This window comes from Homo sapiens, chromosome 2 (assembly GCF_000001405.40).
Source record: "Homo sapiens chromosome 2, GRCh38.p14 Primary Assembly".
NCBI lineage: Eukaryota > Metazoa > Chordata > Mammalia > Primates > Hominidae > Homo > Homo sapiens.
Window position 1 is genome coordinate 230,151,548 of NC_000002.12, and position 19,016 is coordinate 230,170,563.

General features: G+C 45.8%; 1 protein-coding gene across 14 annotated transcripts in view, besides 1 other annotated feature; it reads right to left on the minus strand.

The window, feature by feature from the left end:
- Positions 8,779-8,848: a silencer, noted in NCBI's record as "silent region_12407". NCBI's record gives its function as "represses an Ori minimal core promoter by ATAC-STARR-seq in GM12878 lymphoblastoid cells {active_cell/tissue: GM12878}" and the evidence as "EXISTENCE:reporter gene assay evidence [ECO:0000049][PMID:35858748]".
- SP110 (SP110 nuclear body protein) overlaps positions 13,639-19,016 on the minus strand; it is a 60,451-nt gene continuing 55,073 nt past the window's right edge. For all 14 annotated transcript variants that reach the window (XM_024452850.2, XM_011511090.4, NM_001378446.1 and 11 more), the window contains one exon: positions 13,639-17,690. In XM_024452850.2, the coding sequence (XP_024308618.1) occupies positions 17,577-17,690 (114 nt within the window). In that variant the 3' untranslated portion in view covers positions 13,639-17,576. The remainder of the gene's footprint in view (positions 17,691-19,016) is intronic.

Below are 19,016 nucleotides of genomic sequence, written 5' to 3' on the forward strand. Positions count from 1 at the left end.
ATCATGTAGTTTTTATAGAAGTCAGATATATTCAGGTATAATTGACATACGGTAAAATCCACTCTTTTTTTTTTTTTTTTTTTTGAGACGGGGTCTTGCTCTGTGGCCAGGCTGCAGTGCAGTGGCATGATCTCAGCTCACTGCAACTTCCGCTTCCCAGGTTCAAGCGATTCTCCTGCCTCGGCCTCCCAAGTAGCTGGGATTACAAGTGCCCGCCACCATGCCCGGCTAATTTTTGTATTTTTAGTAGAGATGGGGTTTCACCATGTTGGCCAGGATGGTCTCGATCTCCTGACCTCATGATCCACCTGCCTCGGCCTCCCAAAGTGCTGGAATTAGACATGAGCCACTGCACTGGGCCAATCCACTCTTTTAAAATGTAGGTTTGTTTTGTTTTGACAAATGTAGAACCACATGACACCAATACAGTCAAGACCCAGGGCAGTCCCATCGTGCCAGACGCTCCCTCAGTCCCTTTGGCAGTCACTCCTCTTTTGCCGTGCCATCCCTGGCAACCACCAATCCATGTTTTGTCCCTGTAGTTTTGCCTCCACTAGAATGTCATATAATGGACATCATATAAATGAAATTATGTCATTACCGGCCTGTTGAGTCTGGCTTTTTTCAGTTAGCCTAATGCTCTTGGAGTTCATCCCTGTTGCCGCATGTATCAGTAGCTTGTCATTCTTTATTACTGAGTAATGTTCCATTATATGGATGTGCTACAATTTACTTACCAATTTACTTGCTGATCGGCGTGTGAGTTCCTTCCAGTTTTTGGCCATTACAAATAAAGCTGCAATGATCATCCATGTACAGGTCTTTGCGTGGACCTATGTTTTTATTTCAGTGCCTGGGAAGGGGTTGCTGGGCCAAATGATAAACATTAGTGTAATTCTGTCAGAAACTACCAAACTGTTTTCCGATGTGATTGTTCCATTTTGCATGCATGAGATTTCCAGTTGCTCTGCCTCCTTGTCTGCTCTTAGTATTGCCAGTCTTTCTAATTTTAGCCATGCTAATAGGTGTGTAACAGTATCTCATCAGGGCTTTCATTTGCATTTCCCTGATGACTAGTGATGTTGAGCATCTTTTTATGTGTTTAATTTGCCATTTGTATATCTTCTTTGATGAAGTATCTGTTCAAATCATCTTCCCTTCCCACTTAAAAAAAATTGAATATTTTGTCTCTATTGAGTTCTAAGATTTGTTTTTCTTTCTTTCTTTTTCTTTTTCTTTTTTTTTTTTTTTTTTTTTGAGATGGAGTCTTGCTCTGTTGCCCAGGCTGGAGTGCAGTGGCTTGATCTCGGCTCACTGCAACCTCTGCCTTCTGGGTTCAAGCGATTCTCCTGCCTCAGCCTTCTGAGTAGCTGGGATTACAGGTGCCTACCACCACATCTAGCTACTTTTTGTATTTTTAGTTGAGACAGGGTGTCATCATGTTGGCCAGACTGGTCTTGAACTCCTGATCTCAGGTGATCTGCCCACCTCTGCCTCCCAAAGTGCTGAGATTACAGGCATGAGTCGCCGCACCTGGCTGAGGATTTCTTTATATATTCTGGATTCCAGTCCTTCATGAGATATGTGTTTTTAAATATTGTCCTCATCTTTTCTTGTTTCTTTTTTAACTTTCTTAAAAGTATCTTCCAAAAATCAGGTTTTAATTTGATGTTCAGCTTATTCTTTTTTTTTTCTCTTATGGTTTATGTGTTTTATGTTCTAGCTAAGAAATCTTTGCCTAACCCAGGGTCTCTATTATTTTTCTACTGCTGCTGTGAAAAACTACCACAACCTTAGTGGCATAAGACAACACAAATTTATGATCTTACAGTTTTGTAGGTCAGAAGTCTGAGCTCCTTGACTGGTTTCTGTACTCTGGGTCTCACCAGGCCAAAGTCAAAGTGTCGGCTGTCTGGGCTCTTACCAAGAGGCTTGGGAAAAATCCACTACAGTGTTCACTCAGGGTGTGGGCAGAACCCAGTTCCTTGAGGTTGTGGGGCTCAGCTGCCAGCTTCATTGCTGGGGTCAACTGGGGTCGCCCTTGGAATTCTCTCTGATCCTCTCTCTGGGCCTCTCTCTGATCCTTGAAAATGAGGCCCTCACTCTGCTAGCTGGCAATCCTGACTCATAAACTCTTAAAGAACTTCTCATGACTGGAATATCTAATTTTCCCTTCTGCTGCAGCTAGAGAAAGTTCTCTGCTATTAAGGGGTCATGTGATTAGGTGGGGCCCACCTGGATAGCCCAGGATACACTCCCTGTTTTAAGATCTGTCTCTTTCCTTGCATCTGCAAAGTCTCTTGCCAGGTAACATAACATGTTCATAGGTTCCAGGAACTAGGAGGTAGGCATTTTTGGGAAAGCATCCAGCCTACCACCTCCTCAAATATTTTCTCTCCTGTTTCTTCTAGGAGCTTTACAGTTTTACATTTAGGTCTATGATCCATTTTAAATTAATTTTTGTATATGGTATCAGATTCTTGGATTATGATTGAGATTTTTTCTTTCTCCTCCTTTTTTTTTTTTTTTTTTTTTTTTTGCGTCTGGATATCCAATTCAAGAAACATATGTTGAACAAGTTAGGTTTTCAGTTTCTATCATGATGAAGAATTTGTGATTTGTATAGCTTCAGAACCCACAGAACCATGGCTCATGTTTCATCATGATCACAGCTGACTTCACGGACTGATTTCATGAACAGTCCCATCATGTTTTGACACTCACAGAAAGTATTTTTCTCTGGGAATTTTTAGGAGTGGGAACGTATGCTTCCCTGTTCTCTGCCTCACCTCTTGCACATACACAGCATTGCAGATGGCACGGAACCCCTGGTTCAGCGGGCTATGGGTGCTCTGCAACACTGAAGGTGAAGGTAGAAGGAAGCAGCAAAAAAAAAAAAACCCTGGTCCCTGATCCTGTTTTGGGGGTTGGGGTAGGCATTTCCTTGGGAGCATTTAAACAACAGCACATCGAGGAGGGACAAAACTCCTTGGCCAGACAGGTAAAGGTCAGAATTTGAAGGCAGGAATGGAAGTAGCAGGTGAATTCTAGGCTGATGTAATTCAGGTATAGGGGGTTGGGATGGGCACAGACAGGATTGGGATCAGATTGGCAGACAGGGAAGGGCAAAGCTGCAAAGGTGGAACTGCAGACCGACCACGGCTCGTGCTACTAGCTGTGTCCACACCCACACCCTGCAGAGGGCCTTGGTGACATGGGGCAGAGCCGTCCCCAGCCCTGGAGAGCCAGAGTGCCCCAAAAGTTTCCTTGGAGGAGGACAATGGGACAGGCCCAAGTGCCCCACAAGGCACTCAATCCCCAGGAGACTTGCTGGTTCTTGGCACCTGCAAGGGAAACCCAAGGGGCTGTCTCGGGTCCCCAGCCCCTGTTGCTGCCCCCAGCTCTGACCCTGGCTTAGGGGCAGATGCCTCAGGCTGCTGTGCCTGCAGATTTTGCAGAAGGAACAAGAGGCTTTAAACTCAGTACACTTAGCCAGTGCAACTCTCTTTCACTAAGGAAAGAAATAGTTAAGAATTCAAGACTCCTCACCTTATGCATTGATCTGTGTCTGCTCTTTGATTCCAAAGACAGGACGGTCTATGAGCCAAGCCAGAAAATTTCACACTGGATCCCTTAATGGATCCCTTCAGGCACCAATACTGCTGAGAGAGACAAGAGGCGACAGGGCCTGGCCTAGATGTGGGCAAATTCCTATTTGAAGTGGCATGAGCTGTGTTCTGTCTGACTTCCACCTTTTTAGCTTTTTCTTTCCAGGCCATTCTCAGGAACCCCGTCCACAGGAGTTTCCCCCAGTCCCCAGCCATCGGCCTCCCTGTGCTGGGGCTGAAGTCACCGTTCTCTTTGGGATCACCCTGCCAACCTTATCTGGGGTCACTGATTGTGGCTGGCATGACAGAAGCTGCCACCCGTGCTGTGGCACCTGAAGCCTCGTGGGACCTCAGTTCCAGGGACTCCTGATGAGAAGGGTCAGGAGGGAGAAACCCAGGACACTGCATGTGAAGGGAAGGGTACCCTCCCTGGTCCCAACCACAGCCGTGACTCAGCTTTACCGAGTAGCTACTGTGTGCGAGGCACTTTGCCTATGTGGTTGGATCAAATGGCATTTTTTCTTCCCTTCTGAGAAATTAAAATGATTAATTTGGGCACTTCCACTATCTGTCTGCAAAAGAAAACTTTATAGAATCTAATTCTGGAGGCAGGCATTTCTTTAGCCTAATAAAGCCCAAGCCAGGTTAGTGGTTGTCAAGAAATAGTATTTGTTGAAATAGACCAGGTTAGATAGTTCAACAGAAGAAAGTCAAGTAGAAGGATGATGAATCTCTCCTGGGGATCAGGATGATGTGTTAGAAGGAAATTAAATTTTCAGGGTAAGGTTTTTTTTTTTGGAGATAGGGTCTCCCTTTTGCCACCCAGGCTGGAGTGCAGTGGGGTGATCTTGGTCCACTGTAGCCTTGACCTCCTGGCTCAAACAATCCTCCTACCTCAGCCTCCTGAGTAGCTGGGACTACAGGCGTGCGCCACCACACCCAGCAAATTTTTATTTTTATTTTTTTGTAGAAGAGATGGGGGTGCGGGGGTGGGGGGCGGTCTCACTATCTTGCCCAGTCTGGTCTTGAACTCCTGGGCTCAAGCAATCCTCCCTCCTTGGCCTCCCAAAGTGCTGGGATTAGAGGTGTGAGCCACCACGCCTGGCTGGGTTTATTTTGATTTTAGGTATTTTAGGACAGAAGCTGAAGCCCAGTGTTCACTCCAACACCCCCCTCCTGAATCCCAAAAAGTCTGGGTGGTGAAAACTTGATCCTTTGAAAGCCCCAGCCCCCACCCCATCTCCCCTCCTCACCTGGACCCTTGGCAGTGGGGGTCCCAGGGCTTCTTTCAGGAAGTCCTGTCTCAGGGCGTCCTCTGGCCTCTGGTTCTCAGCTCCAATCCCTGCTGTCTTCCCCGCCTTCCCCACGAAGCACAGAGTCAGGCATTTCTTCCCTGGGCCTGTCCACACTCCTCACTGCTTCCTTGAGAGAACAACGACCCCAGCTCCAGTCCAGGAGGGACTGTGGGCCTAGAGGGGCCGCTGGCTAGGGGCTGAGAGGAGCTCCCGGAGGTGTGGTTCCCGAGACTGGTCTTCTCCTGTTCTATTTTCCTGGGTGTCATTTTCACGGCAGGAAACCTTTTTAGAAAGGGAGGGAGGCACATTTTTCTCAGGGACATTCACAGCAAGGCCTCATCCTGCCCACGTCCCACAGCCGCAGGATTTTCTGGCCTGGTCCTGTTCTGGATCTGCCTGATTCTCAAGGCACAGCAGCAGGGGAGGGCGGGCTCCGCACCCTGGTCAAGCTAGGGCAGGCGCTTGGCTTGCCAGCAAAAGGTCCCGCTTCCCAGGACAAAGACTCGCTCTGAGGCCGCACTTAAGTCAGGCTCCTCGAAGCTCTCTTTCAACGGGGCCTCAACCCTGGGCTTCTGTGCCTGTCATCGTTGGGCCTGCATCAGCCAGTTTTAGCAAGTCCCTCCTAAGTCAGTGTGGAGAGAGGCCCCCATCCTTCGCATCTGACCACCCTGGCCTGCCTTCAGCAAGAATCCTAAGCCTGTTTAACCAGAAGCTTTCCTTCCCCCTGCTGCTTTCTCTTAGTAATTTCCTCCATCCCGACTGCCAGCCTGCTCCATGGCTATAAATCCCCACTCGTTCTGGTTGAATTAACCACTGAGTCCGTTCTATATGCACTGAGGCCTCTTTCCCCCTTTGCAATACTTCCTGAATAAAATGTGCTTTTCCTACTTTACCTACTGTCAGGTCCTGGGTTTCTTTAACAGGAGGGCAACCTTCAGACTGGGTCCAGGTCAGTGACATAGAAGGGGAAGTGGCACAGTGTGTCCACAGAGGGCAGAGCCCAGTGACGGGAGCTCACAGCAGAGACGCCCAGGCTGCATTCGGGAGGGCAGTGGCACCGATGAGAGGGGCATAGGCAAGGACACCACGGGGCAGGATGCAGAAGGGAGTCCTGGGGCAGAACCAGAGCGGGAGCCCAGCCCATCAAACATCAAGACGTGGCCTGGTGCATGGGGAGTGAGATTCCAGTGACCCAATGGGGACCAGGAGTCGGGAGATGCTGCTCGGAGAAGCTCCGGACCTGCAAACCAGCCTGCTCAGACTGACTGGGAGCCTAGAGGCATTCATTCATTCATCCATTCATTCTACAAATCTGTATTAAGCGCTGATGAGTTTGACGGTAGGGATATACCAACAAACAAAAGAGATAAAAAATTTTGTCCCTGTGGAGCTTACATGATAGTGACAAGAGACAGACACCAAACACAATAAACAAATCATGTTGCGTGTTAGAACATGATAAATGGGATATTTTGGGGGAAGAAAGGACACACGTGAGAGGGAGCAGGAGAGCCAGGTGTGGGAGGTTGCAGCATTAGGGGTGGTTGGAGCAGGCTCCCCCAGGGACATTTGAGCAAAAACATTAAAGATGTGAGGGTGAACTGTGGGGACTTCCAGGGGGAGGAAGCTCCAGACCCAGGGGATTGCTGGTGTAAAGGCCTTGAGGCAGGAGTGGCCTGGGTTCCAGGGAGGCCAGTGGGTGCAGCAGACCTACGAGGGAGGGGAGAAGCCCCTCATACAGGCCTCAGAGGGGGTGCTCTCACCCTGAAGGTGGAGTAGGTAGGATTGGACTCATCTTAACAGGCTAAGTCTGGCTGCCATATTGAGAATAGGCTTTGGGGGTAGGGGTTGGGGTTGTGACGTGTGTTGGGTGGGGTAGGAACAGGCCATGTACCACTGCCATTAAAGCATTTCAACTGGGGACCTGTTAATATTCTTAACTGCTCCCCTGCATTTCACAGCTGCCTGTATCCAAATACAATGGGGCCACCTGACAGCACACCTCAGGGTGACTTCATGTTCAAATATAATATCAACCCAATATCCAATAAAAAGCTTCAAAAATCATGCCAACATCTTAAGTCCCTCAAGGCGGTGTCAAAGCAGGAGCCAATCCATGACCTACCGAGAGAGGAGAAAGGAAGAAGCCAGTCAGGCAGGCAGTTAGGGTGGGCCCTCAGTTAAATTCTTTCAAACAAAAGAACAGCCAACTTGCACAGAGGGGCTTGCCTAAGACACGCCCACAGCCACATAGATAAGAAAAGCTACACAGGTGACTCACCCAGACACGCCTGCAGTGGAAAGTTCTGTCCCGTAACACATGTACAGTAAGGGGAACAAAGCAATATGGAGTCACTAAGCTAAGGGCCCACATGCACACTTGGAGGATGGGGTGGAGCTAACAGAAATTTGTGTCTTATGCAAATGAGATGCCCAGCCCTCATCAGTTTCTTATAAAAGCCTTTGCATTCAACTGTAAAGACAGCAACCCTCTTCTGGGCCCCCTCTCCATGGCAGAAAGCTTTCTTCTTTTGCTTAGAAAACTTTTGCTCCAATCTCACCTTTTGTGTCCACACTCCTTAATTCTCTGGGTCATGAGACAAAGAACTCCAGGTAATACGTCACAACGAGAGACTGCTACGTCGTGGTGCATTGGTGAGACTTTAACACTAAAAGAGAATACCGTGTGGGCCACCTCCACTCATCCATCTCTCTCTGAAGTTCTCATGACCATGGCTCAATATTAATCTCCTCCCTCCATCCACATGCTTGCTCCCTGCACCCCCAAATCTCATCTGCCCAGCTGCTTTTTTATTTAGTTCCCTTCTCAGTTTAGTTTTTTCTTCTGCAGTTGGCTTCACATTCTATTCTTATTACTGTTTCTGAAAGCTGTTAATAAATAAACAATTAAACTACAAAACATTACAATTAAACAAACCAAGCAATCAACCAAACAATAAACTCTCGGTTGTCACCTCACAGGACAAGGACAGCTCTTGTGATTAAGTTGCAGGCTCTACTGCTGCCCACACCACAGATACCTTAGTTAGATTTGCTCCTTTGTCAAATGTTTAAGTCAGATAAAGGACCAGTCGTAGGGCAGTGGATCTCAAACCTAATTGTGGCAAAACAAAACAAAACAAACAAACAAAAATCACCTAGAAAACTTGTTCAACTGGTTAAAAACACAGATTCCTGGGCCTGAATCCTAGAGATTCCCACCCAGAGCCAACATCCCAGAATCTGCATTTTAGGCAAGCTCCCTGTGATTCTGAAGCAGCGGGCCATAGGCAATTCATTGGGAAGCGGTCAGTGTCCAGATATCTCAGAGGACCCCTCTCTAAGCACTCTTGATTGGTCCCAAAGACCCCCCTTCCCCCAGTAGGCTGGCTTCTTCACCCTGTCCTCATCCTCTAGCATCCCCGAGAGGAGGTCACCTGGGACATTCTTGCAAATGGGAGGATCTAGAATCCAGGTCTCTGCCTGCTGCCGGCCATCCCCAGGCGGGCCTCCTACCAGATTCCAATCTATGAAACGAAAAACTGGGGATCCTTTTCCAGCCCACGTTACTGAGTGCATCTCAGTTGTTTCATTATGCTAGCTGTGAGGTTTTGCACTTGTGACAAACAACAGAAGGGACCTTTTGTCACAGTAAGGAAATCCTCGCAAGCATGTGCCTAAACGTGACTGCCTGCTGCTTCGTCTTTGCCAGTCTCATCTGGAGAGGACCTGGCGCATGCTCTTGGTTGGTTTTCCTCCATCTGCATGAAATAGGAGCCACTGAGAGCATCTTCCTCCCCTTCAAAGCCTTCACTACTTCTTTCTGCTAGTTCCTTGTCCTTGCAGGAGCTTTAATAGCTCAATTCCTTTCCGTCTCTGGAGGGGCCCACAGTGCCCTCTGGTGGTTGAACAGCATGCTACACTTTTTTTTTTTTTTTTTTTTTTGTGGGGTAGGGAGAGGGTGGACAGAGTCTCCTGTCGCCCAGGCAGGAGTGCAGTGGTGCAATCTCGGCTCACTGCAACCTCCGCCACCCCGCCACAGGCTCAAGCGATTCCCTTGCCTCAGCCTCCCAAGTAGCTGGGATTACAGGTGTACACCACCACACTGGGCTAATTTCTGTATTCTTAGTAGAGTTTCACCATCTTGGCCAGGCTGGTCTTGAACTCCTAGCCTCAAGTGATCCACCCGCCTCCTCCCAAAGTGCTGAGATTACAGGCTTGAGCCACCGTGCCTGGCCTATGGCACACTTTTGTAGAAGTCCAGGGTGCCTGCTGCTCTCAGGGCTAGGTCCTGTGCCCATCCTGGGAGAATGGGAAAGCCTCTGTATGCATTCTGCTCTGCCTGAGCCCTCCACAGAGCCAGAACCAGGCCTAGGGGTTCAAGGGTAAACTTCTTTGAGGAACTGGAAACTGAGATGATGATGAGATTAGGGATTGGCTATGAATACAAACTGGGTCATGGTCCAGATACAGAAACATCAAAATCTGACCTGTGGGCTCTGTCTGGGAAAATTTAGGGCAAATTGGCACTTGTAGGTGGCAAGGAGTGGCTTGTTTACCCTGCCCTCCTCACTGTCCCTTGTTTGGACCAATTCTGCCTTCTTAGGAGGACATGACAATTCTTCCCCCAGGATCCTAGGATGCACTGAAGCCTCTAGTTTTTTCCTGCTGGTGAGTACTAACATATGCCCATTAACTTGAATGCTTATCTTTCACTGGCCAAGACCAAGCTTTGACAGGTACCCCCAGAGCACTTTCATAGGCCCGTGAGTCAATTCTGAACCAAGTCATGGGGGCAGCTGAGTCAGCTCCCCTCAATCCCGGCCTTGATAGCTGGGCACAGTTGTGGCCCGGGGTCTGAATGCTGCAACCACAGTGCTTAAGGTCTGGGTTGTGGAAGCTGGAGAACCACTGCTGGGCCTGAAGGCTGGAAACCTCGCTGTTGCCCTTGCGAAATAAGGACATTTCCACTTTATCCCCTAGGGCAGAGCATTTAGTGAGTCAAAACCTTAACTCCACATCCAACAGACTCTGTTTCAGAACAGTGTGTCAGATGCTTCAGTATCAGCTGACATCCTGGACGTGTAACCACCCCTTTCTGCTCATACTTGGGCCTTGTGTCCAGGTCTGGGTGACTGTCCTCACCATTGAGTTTTTGCTTGAGGCCCCGGGCTGTCTTCTGGAAAGTGGCTATCATGGGTTCCTCAGGGTTCTACCCAACCTCTCTGTAAATGATCAGACGCCAGTAGCTGCTAAAGGGGAAAAGTGTCCCCTCTGCCAATGCATCTGAGCTCTGGTCTTGTCCAATGGGGATGACTGGTGCCAGGTTGCCTGGAGTCCTGTGCTGGGAGGGACTTCGCCAGGTGGTCTTCCTTGTTCTAGATGGTTCTGGAGATTCAAATGGCCCAGTTGAGACCAGAGGTGAAGAGAGCAAGACAGTGCCTTCTTGATTTCATTATTTCACATGTCACTTCATAGGGGAATGACTGCTAAAATGAATACGGTCTGTGCATTTTTTCTAAGTCACAATTACAGAAGAGATAGAATGACAGGAGAGTTGTGAATCCCATAGTCCCCACACCTAATTTCAAGAGGGGAGGAGTTCCATTGGAGCAGCTTTGGGACGAAAGAGAAGCAGTCAGGGTCCTCAGGGCTCAGGGCAGGAAAGCAAAGAGTCCAAGGCACCTGCCAGGACTGACCCCGCCCACCGACTCCCATAACTACTTGCAGAATGTGAGCTTGCTCTGAAGGCCTGGCTCTACCAGAGCTTGGAAAGCATCTGAGAAATGTACCCACTCCAGATGTTGATGCCAATGAAGTCTACCTCTCCTGAGGGAGGCTGCACTTCACCAGGAGACAATGTCTCCCCAGTTTCTAAGAATGAATCTTCCAAGGTGGAATTTCTGCTATCAGCTAGAGGGGGGAATGTATTTTTACATGTAATTCCTCCAGTCATTCCTGATAAGAAAGCTTTTTTTGTTGTTCCATTTTTGCAACCTTTTGGAGTCATGTAAAACCTCCCACATCATAACCTGAAGGTAGTCCTGAGCTGATGCAGGCTCCCTGGCCAGTTGGGGAGGAAAGGGTTCAGGAAAGAGTGGAACCCAGCTGGATCAGATGGGAGAAATTGAAGCAGTGTTGTTCACCTGGGGTAATACTTGAGGTTTGTGGTCTCATGCCAAGGAAATCAAGAACATGGACACACCTGGAGTGAGATTAAGAGTGGACGTTTGGCCGGGCGCGGTGGCTCACGCCTGTAATGCTAGCACTTTGGGAGGATGAGGCAGGTGGATCACCAGGTCAGGAGATAGAGACCATCCTGGCTAATATGGTGAAACCCCGTCTCTACCAAAAATACAAAAAATTAGCCGGGCGTGGTGGTGGGCGCCTGTAGTCCCAGCTACTTGGGAGGCTGAGGCAGGAGAATGGCGTGAACCCGGGAGGCAGAGCTTGTAGTGAGCCAAGATTGCACCACTGCACTCCAGCCTGGGCGACAGAGCGAGACTCTGTCTCAGAAAAAAAAAAAAAAAAGAAAGAGTGGAGGTTTAATAGGCAAAAGAAAGAGAAAAAAGAATAACTCTCCTGCAGAGAGAGAGGAGTGCCCAAGTGGGTCTTCCAGCCCACGCCAAAATGCACCGGATTTTATAGACTGGCTTGAGGAGGCAGTGTCTGATTTACATAGGGCCCACAGATTGGTTGGACCACATGTGACATTTACATAGCACAGGAGGAAGTTGGCCACCCCACCCTAATCTTATTATTATGCAAATGGGTTTTCTACTTGGTCAGCACCATGTTGTCTGCTCCTTACTGTACATGTGGTTGGCAAGGAAAAGGGAAGATGGAGCCACCGTGTTGGACATGCCTGGCTCCCAGATAGCCCTTTCCCATTGGCACAGCTGCCGGCATTCACCCGTGCAAGCTTCCAGCTTGCTTATCTATGTCTGCAGCTCAATTTTACAGGCTGCTTTTTGTTAGAAAAGAAATGACTTGGGGGCTGCTTTTCATTAAAAGGAAAACCTCAGCGAGGACTTCCTTACCCTCACTATCTGCCTAAATAATTTCTTTTTAACGCCTATGTTATTATGGCCTGGGTGCAGGACTGGAATGGGTCCCTGGAGAGAGGCAATTGGCATTGTCTGCAGGGGCATCACTGATGGTGGGTTCATTAAGAGTTTTTAACATCTAAGGAGGTACGTGCTGAACGTGGATGAGGCCTGAGCAGTGGGAAACGACCAGGAGGGCAAATCCTGCACCTACAGCTCAGAGAGTCTGGGGGAAGGTGAGGACCAGCTGGGCTAAGCAGAATAACCCAAACCCTGCTCTCGCAGGCAGAAATCACTTGAAAACCAGGGGAGCAGTACAGCAACAAACAGGAGCAAGGGAAGAGAGTGTTCCGGGAATAGGGGTCTTGGCTGTCATGGCAATCAAACTGCTAGTGTTTGAAAGTCTCAACTTGAAAGAAATAAATGACTCTTTAGGGTACCCCCCACCCCCTGCCCAAGATACAGAGAAACCCAGAGCCATGATTAGATGATAGACAGACAGACCTGGATCAGCTTACCAATGCGAGAACGGAAGACAGGGTTAGGTCATGAATGGATATAAGATTTTTTTACCCAGCAATCCTGGCTGCTGGTAAACTGGTAGGGAGGGGAATCTTTTATCATAATGCATTGAGCTTATGCTAGGAATGGGAACCTTTAGTGTACCTCTCAGAAGGATTTGGAAGTCTAAAGTCTAGGCTGATAAAATCATCATCTCTAGAACTCAGCATTCACTCCAAAATGGCACCAGGAGTGGCCATCTTTATGGCCATATTTGTTGTCTTTCCATACAATGAAGGGAATTCTACTTTATTATATGCTTTTCTTGAGCCAGTGCTCAAACTGCCTCCGCCCTTTCCTGGATCATAGGTGAGGTCAATCTATTTCACAGTTCACACTGTTGTGAAAACACTGAGAAATAGGAGCAAAAGAAATCTCTATACATTTTCTGTTCATTAGTCTGTGACACTGGGTACCTAAATGGAAACTCCAACACACTCTACTCCCAGTTCCTCACTGGGAGGCTGAAGGGGGCCTGCTGGACAGGTTCTGCCTCCTTATGGGGCAGGGCCTCGGTTTTTGATGGTCTTACTCCTCCATGGAGACTAAGAATGAAAAGCCAGAAACACAGACCAGGACAATTTAGTAAGTTGTAATGATTTGCAATTTTTGTCTTGAGAAAAGCATTATGTTGAGAAAAGTTTATGTCCTTTGAACTTTTGTTTAAAAATAGCAATTAGCATTATTAACATGCTAAAAAATAGGTTTAAATACTATCAAATTGCAATTATATTAATATCAGTTTCATACTAATGGCCTAAGACGAGGAGTGCTTCTTGAAACATTTTTAAAAAATGATAAATAGGGAGAACAGAGAGCAGATAGCCTGTAGATAATAGATGTTCTTGAAAGTGAGCCCAGGACAAATGGATCAGTAAGGTTTAATGGGGCTGCAAAAATAACCAGGCATGTATATCGAAAGGGCTCAGTGTGCCAGGCATGATGAATGAAAAGGTACTATATTTGAAACCTATCCTGGCAAAAATAACTAAATATAGAACTATTGGGATAATAGGGGAAATATCATTGGTTTCCACACACTAATGAGGAGGCAGAATTCTGGCTGGACTTAGATTTCAGAGTTGTAGAATAAAATCCCCAAAGACAGTGGAACAAAGTTTAAATCAATTTTGAAGGTGAGAAGTTATGATAAGTTATATATTATGTTATTAATTTATGAAAACAATAGAACACATTCTAAGATATGGTGAATCAGAAAACATACCATCCATGTAATTCTTTTCAAATTACTTAAAGACACACTTCAGTTGACTGAAAGGCAGAGCAAAAAGGAAGTATGGAGAAGTCGTGTCAAGAAAAGACCAGCAGGGAATCTTAAACAGTGAAAACAGAAACACATTAATACTGTTCTCAAAAATACAGGTTATCACGTAACACACACTTTTAATTTTTGCTTTTGAATTACTTTATATGACATAGGACATGACAAATAATTTACATAATGTGAAACTAACAAATAATGACATAATATAATTGAATAGAATAAACATTATAGAGTAAAAGCAAAAAAATTAATACTAATTCATGTCTGTATTTCAAGAGAGTGAAAAGACAGGAATAAGGGAGCTGAGAGGTATCAAAGTGATAAACGCATTGCCTTAAGTATGTGACACATTACAGATATTTTATTTTTGACTTTGACATTAAAAAAATAAGTCAAAATGCATTGGGAAAACTTATGGGTAAATATTGGAACTAAAAGCCGTTACGATGCCTTCCAAAATAGAAGGCAGAAGAAAAAAAATAGACAAAAATAACATTAAAACATTAAAAAGAGAAATATTAAAATATGACAGAAATAAGACCACCTATATAACTTTTTTTTTTTTTTTTGAAACAGAGTCTTACTCTGTTGCCCAGGCTGGAGTGCAGTGGTGGGATCTCGGCTCACTGCAACCTCCACCTCCCGGGTTCAAGCGATTCTCCTGCCTCAGCCTCTTGAGTAGCTGGGACTACAGGCGCCCGCCACCACGCCTGGCTAATTTTTGTATTTTTAGTAGAGACGGGGTTTCACCACGTTGGTCAGGCTGGTCTCGATCTCTTGACCTCGCGATCCACTCGCCTCAGCCTCCCAAAGTGCTGGGATTACAGGCCTGAGCCACTGCGCCTGGCAGACCACCTATATTACTTTTAACCACAAATGAAATAGATGACTTCTTAGAAAAACATAAAAGCAGAGCTGTCTCAAAAACCAACAGAATATCTTCATAGCCTGAAAACCGTAAAGAAAGCAGATAATGTGGTTACCACTGTCTCTCCAGTGAACTCTGGGTCACACACTTTTGGTTAATTTAAAACACTATAAATTATTCCAGAATATATTAAAAGGTAGAAAATTTTACAAGTTATTTTACCGAGGTAGGATAACCGTAAATCTGACTATGACAGTGTGTAAAAACTATAGAGCAATCTCATTTATAAATACAAATGTAAAATCCTCTGCAATGGTATATTAAATACCCTCTGCAATGGTACATTAAATACCCTCTGCAATGGTATATTAAATCTATAACAAACAAAAATAAACTCCACAGAAATTTAGAAATCAACTTAGTTTGTTTTTCATAGTGATCTGAGTGTTAAAATTCTGTTAACTTTTATTGTTGTACCTGGGGATTGAGCAAGTGAGTAAATAATACTGTTGGAGAAGGGAGACACCAATACAGAACCGAGGAAGACAAGGAAGAAGCCTGTGGGGTAGGATGGGATGGGATGGGAATTAGAGGTGTATCATACATATAAATCATGTATCAAGGAAAATTTCCTGCCCTGGGATTAGGGGGAACTAGCAACATGTGCTTGACTGGATTTCAGAATTGCTATAAATGAGTGACTGCTGCTTCCTTTTTCCCCGTTTGAATGGAAGTGTCTATAGTAGTTGTTCAGTCCCTGTTTCATCACTGACTGTTGGCAGCAGGGAAGAAACAATTTTTCAGCTCACAGGCCTCTAGTTCAAGAGGAGGTGCACCCAAGGAGCTGCACCCAATAAACCATACCTGAGGAGCCTATTTCTTTTGTTTTCTTTCCTTTTTTTTTTTTTTTTTTTGAGGCAGGGTCTCTGTTGTCCAGGCTGGAGTGCAGTGGTGCATTCTTGGCTCACTGCGACCTCTGCCTCCCAGGCTCATCCTTCCACCTCAGCCTCCTGAGTAGCTGGGACTACAGGTGTGTGCCACCTTGCCCAGCTAATTAAAAAGATTTTTTTTTTTTTTTTTTTGTAGAGATGAGGTTTTGCCATGTTACCCAGGCTGGTCTTCAACTCCTGGACTCAAGCGATCCACCTGCCTCGGCCTCCTAAAGTGCTGGGATTTCAGGTGTGAGCCACTGTGCCCAGCCCGAAGAAGCTTTATCTGATCTGAACCTGATTTAGATAAGGAGGTCCTGGACTTTGTTCCAATGCTGCAGAGAGTGAGACTTCTGTGGGGAGAGGAGTGTCCTTTGCATTTGGGAAAGATGTGAACTACTGTGGCCAGAGGGTGAACTATGGTAGATTGCTTCTAAAGATGGGAGCAGCAATGTTTCTTCCCAAGCAACATTCTCCTTTGAAATGTGACTTTGCCACCCATCGCATCAAGAGGTAAGGTCTATTCTCCCTCCTTCTGAATCTGTCCCTGTGACTTGCTTTCACCAATAGATTGTGGCAGAAGTGACAGTGTGCAAGTATGAATGGGGTCTGCCAGTACCATGTGGAGCAAAGGGAAGCATCCTCATGGATGATGCCTGAATTCTTGATCCACAGAATAGTGAGCAATAAAATGTTTTTTTCTTTTTAAGCAGCTAAGCTTTGAGGTCATTTGTTACACAGCAATAGATAGCTAATACACCATCAAAGAGTTCTGGGGTCATTTCAAAACAACTCAGGAGGCAAATTGAGGAGTTTCTCACTAAAAGTGGGGAACTTGCACATGCCTGTAATCCCAGCTACTCGGAGGCTGAGGCAGGAGAATCGCTTGCACCCAGGAGGAGGAGGTTGCAGTGAGTCAAGATGACGCTACTGTACTCCGGCCTGGGTGACAGAGTGAGACTCTGTCTCAAAAAAAAAAAAAAAAAAAAAAAAAGAAAAAGTGGGCAACTCAAGCATCAATAAAGGTATTAACTGCAATGGTTTGTAGCATGCTACGTATATTTAAATATGTGGGTTCAAGATAATTAAATTAAAAAATCCCTGGTTACCTTTAGAGGATATTGGGACATCAATTCATTATTTTGAACATTGCTAAATAAAAAAACAAGCATTTATCCTATTTTTTGTACAACCTGTATTTCAAGGTAACCGAATACTGTTAAAGAGAAGCTATTTGCAGAATAATTCTGACCAATAATTATGTAAAAAAAAACCTGAATCTCATCATTTTGCAACCTCTGATGATATCACGGATTTAGGTATTGCTAAAACCATCAGGTGATAGATGATCAGGCTGATAACACGTGCACCTGCTGCCAACCTTAACATAAAAAATAATACTAAATTCCCCTGTGAAGCCTGCATGTGCCCCAAAACCCCCAAATCAAAACAAACCCCTCAAAACCTGAGTTAAAGCAAGCTTCTAGATCTAACTTCTAGCTTACAAAAAATGAGAGGAAGAGAGGACTATACCACTAAGAAAATGCAACCAGAAAATTCCAGATTGCAAAAAATGTAATAGGACCAAAACCCTGAGTTCTTCAATAAATACATGACAATTTATAGCTTAAAAGAGACATAGGGACAGGAGAGCCAAATGCAGTGTGTGGAACTTGTTTAGATCCTGATTTGAACAAATCAACTCTAAAAAGACTTATGAGACAGTGGGGAGAATGTGAACTATGATGGGGTATCTGATGGTATTAAGGAAGTATTAATTTTTTTTTTTTTTAGTGTAGATATAGACTTTTAAAGGTAAAAAGAAAGAATAAAGATGGAGGGTGTGATAATCCTATGAAGTGTCTGGGTTTGGGTCCTGAGGGCAGCCAATTACATCCCAGACTCACTGGCAATCAACAGTCCAAGCCAGGGTCCCATCAGCTGAATCCTGAGGTGGGGATGCTTCAGTCTTTACAGAACAGGGTCAAGGAAGAGTCCAGAAACCGCCGTCATTGGCTTCATGAAAACCGAGCACGTCTTTGAGATCTTTTTCAAATTCTGCCTCTAAGTCAAGTCCTACCTGGCCAAAGTCAGAAGCCTGAAAGAGAAAAAAGCAAACAAACACATTGAAGGATGAAGGATTACAGCCATCAAATCACTCATACTTTTTTTTGTGTTTTTGTTTTTGAGTCAGGGTCTTTCCCCGTCACCCAGGCTGTGGTGCAGTGGCACCGTCATGGCTCACTGCAGCCTTGAATTCCTGGGCTCATGTGATCCTCCCACCTCAGCTCCTGAGAAGCTGAAACTACAGGCACATGCCACTATGCCCAAAGTTTTAAAACATTTTTTTCTCTTTCAGAGATCGGGGTGAGGAGGCCTTGCTATGTTGCTCAGGCTGGTCTCAAACTCCTGGCCTCAGATGATTCCCTCACCTCGGACTCCCAAAAAGCTGGGATTACAGATGTGAGTCACCATGCCCAGCCTCACTCTTATTTTTTTAGGAGCCCAGCAGTAAGGCAGAATGGATGGGGAGATGCTGCTACTAAAATGTTGAAAAGCATGAGACTCCAGCTGGTTGTTAATTTCCACCTGACAGGCGATTTAGACTGAAGGGTTAGTTTTGATCATGGCAAATCTGAGCATGATGCAAAATAGCTTAACAATTTTTGTAAATGCATTTCTTGGAAGCCCACTCGCTGAGGAAGGATGACCCTCTGTTCTCCAGGACTACGGATATGCCAGGCACTGAGTGGCTCTCTGGTCAACCCTTTCTCCCTGCAGCTCCATGAATGGGTACCAGTTTACAATCTGTGGTTTGTGAACATGCCAACTCCTGGCATGGAAGAAGGGAAGGAAGCTGGGTGGAGATGAAAATCTTCCTTAGGTACCTCCCAAGAAATATCTGTACAAGTGAGGATAAAAATCAGGAAAAACCAAAGTTACAAATGTCTGGGATTGCAGGATAGCTCAACCAGCTGTCCCTCCCTAGTAAAGGAGGATGAAACCAACATTGGATCTGAAGGCAATTCCAGATGTTTGAGTCCAATGAGAAATTTATGTGTAAAAATATGCAAGCCTGATTATCCAGGAAGTTTAATTGATTTTATGTTGTTTACTTATTTATTTTCATATTTCTGAGGCAGGAAGAACAATGTAGGCATAAACTGCCTTTCCTTCCAGTTTGAACAAAGAGGCTGGATGCCATTTACTGCTCTCGTTGGGAGCGAGCTGCCGATCTGGGAACAGAGCATGGTTTTTTTCAGCTTCTGTTCCAGAGATCCCTCCCCTGTCCTGCTTGCTGTTCTTTTTGCCACTCACTCCTTGCCTCCAGGAATGCCGAGGTGGTTTTTTTTCTGTAATCCTTGTCTTGTTTGAGCTCTCCCCAGGCTGAAACTGAGTGTAATACTTGCAAAATTCTGCTGTC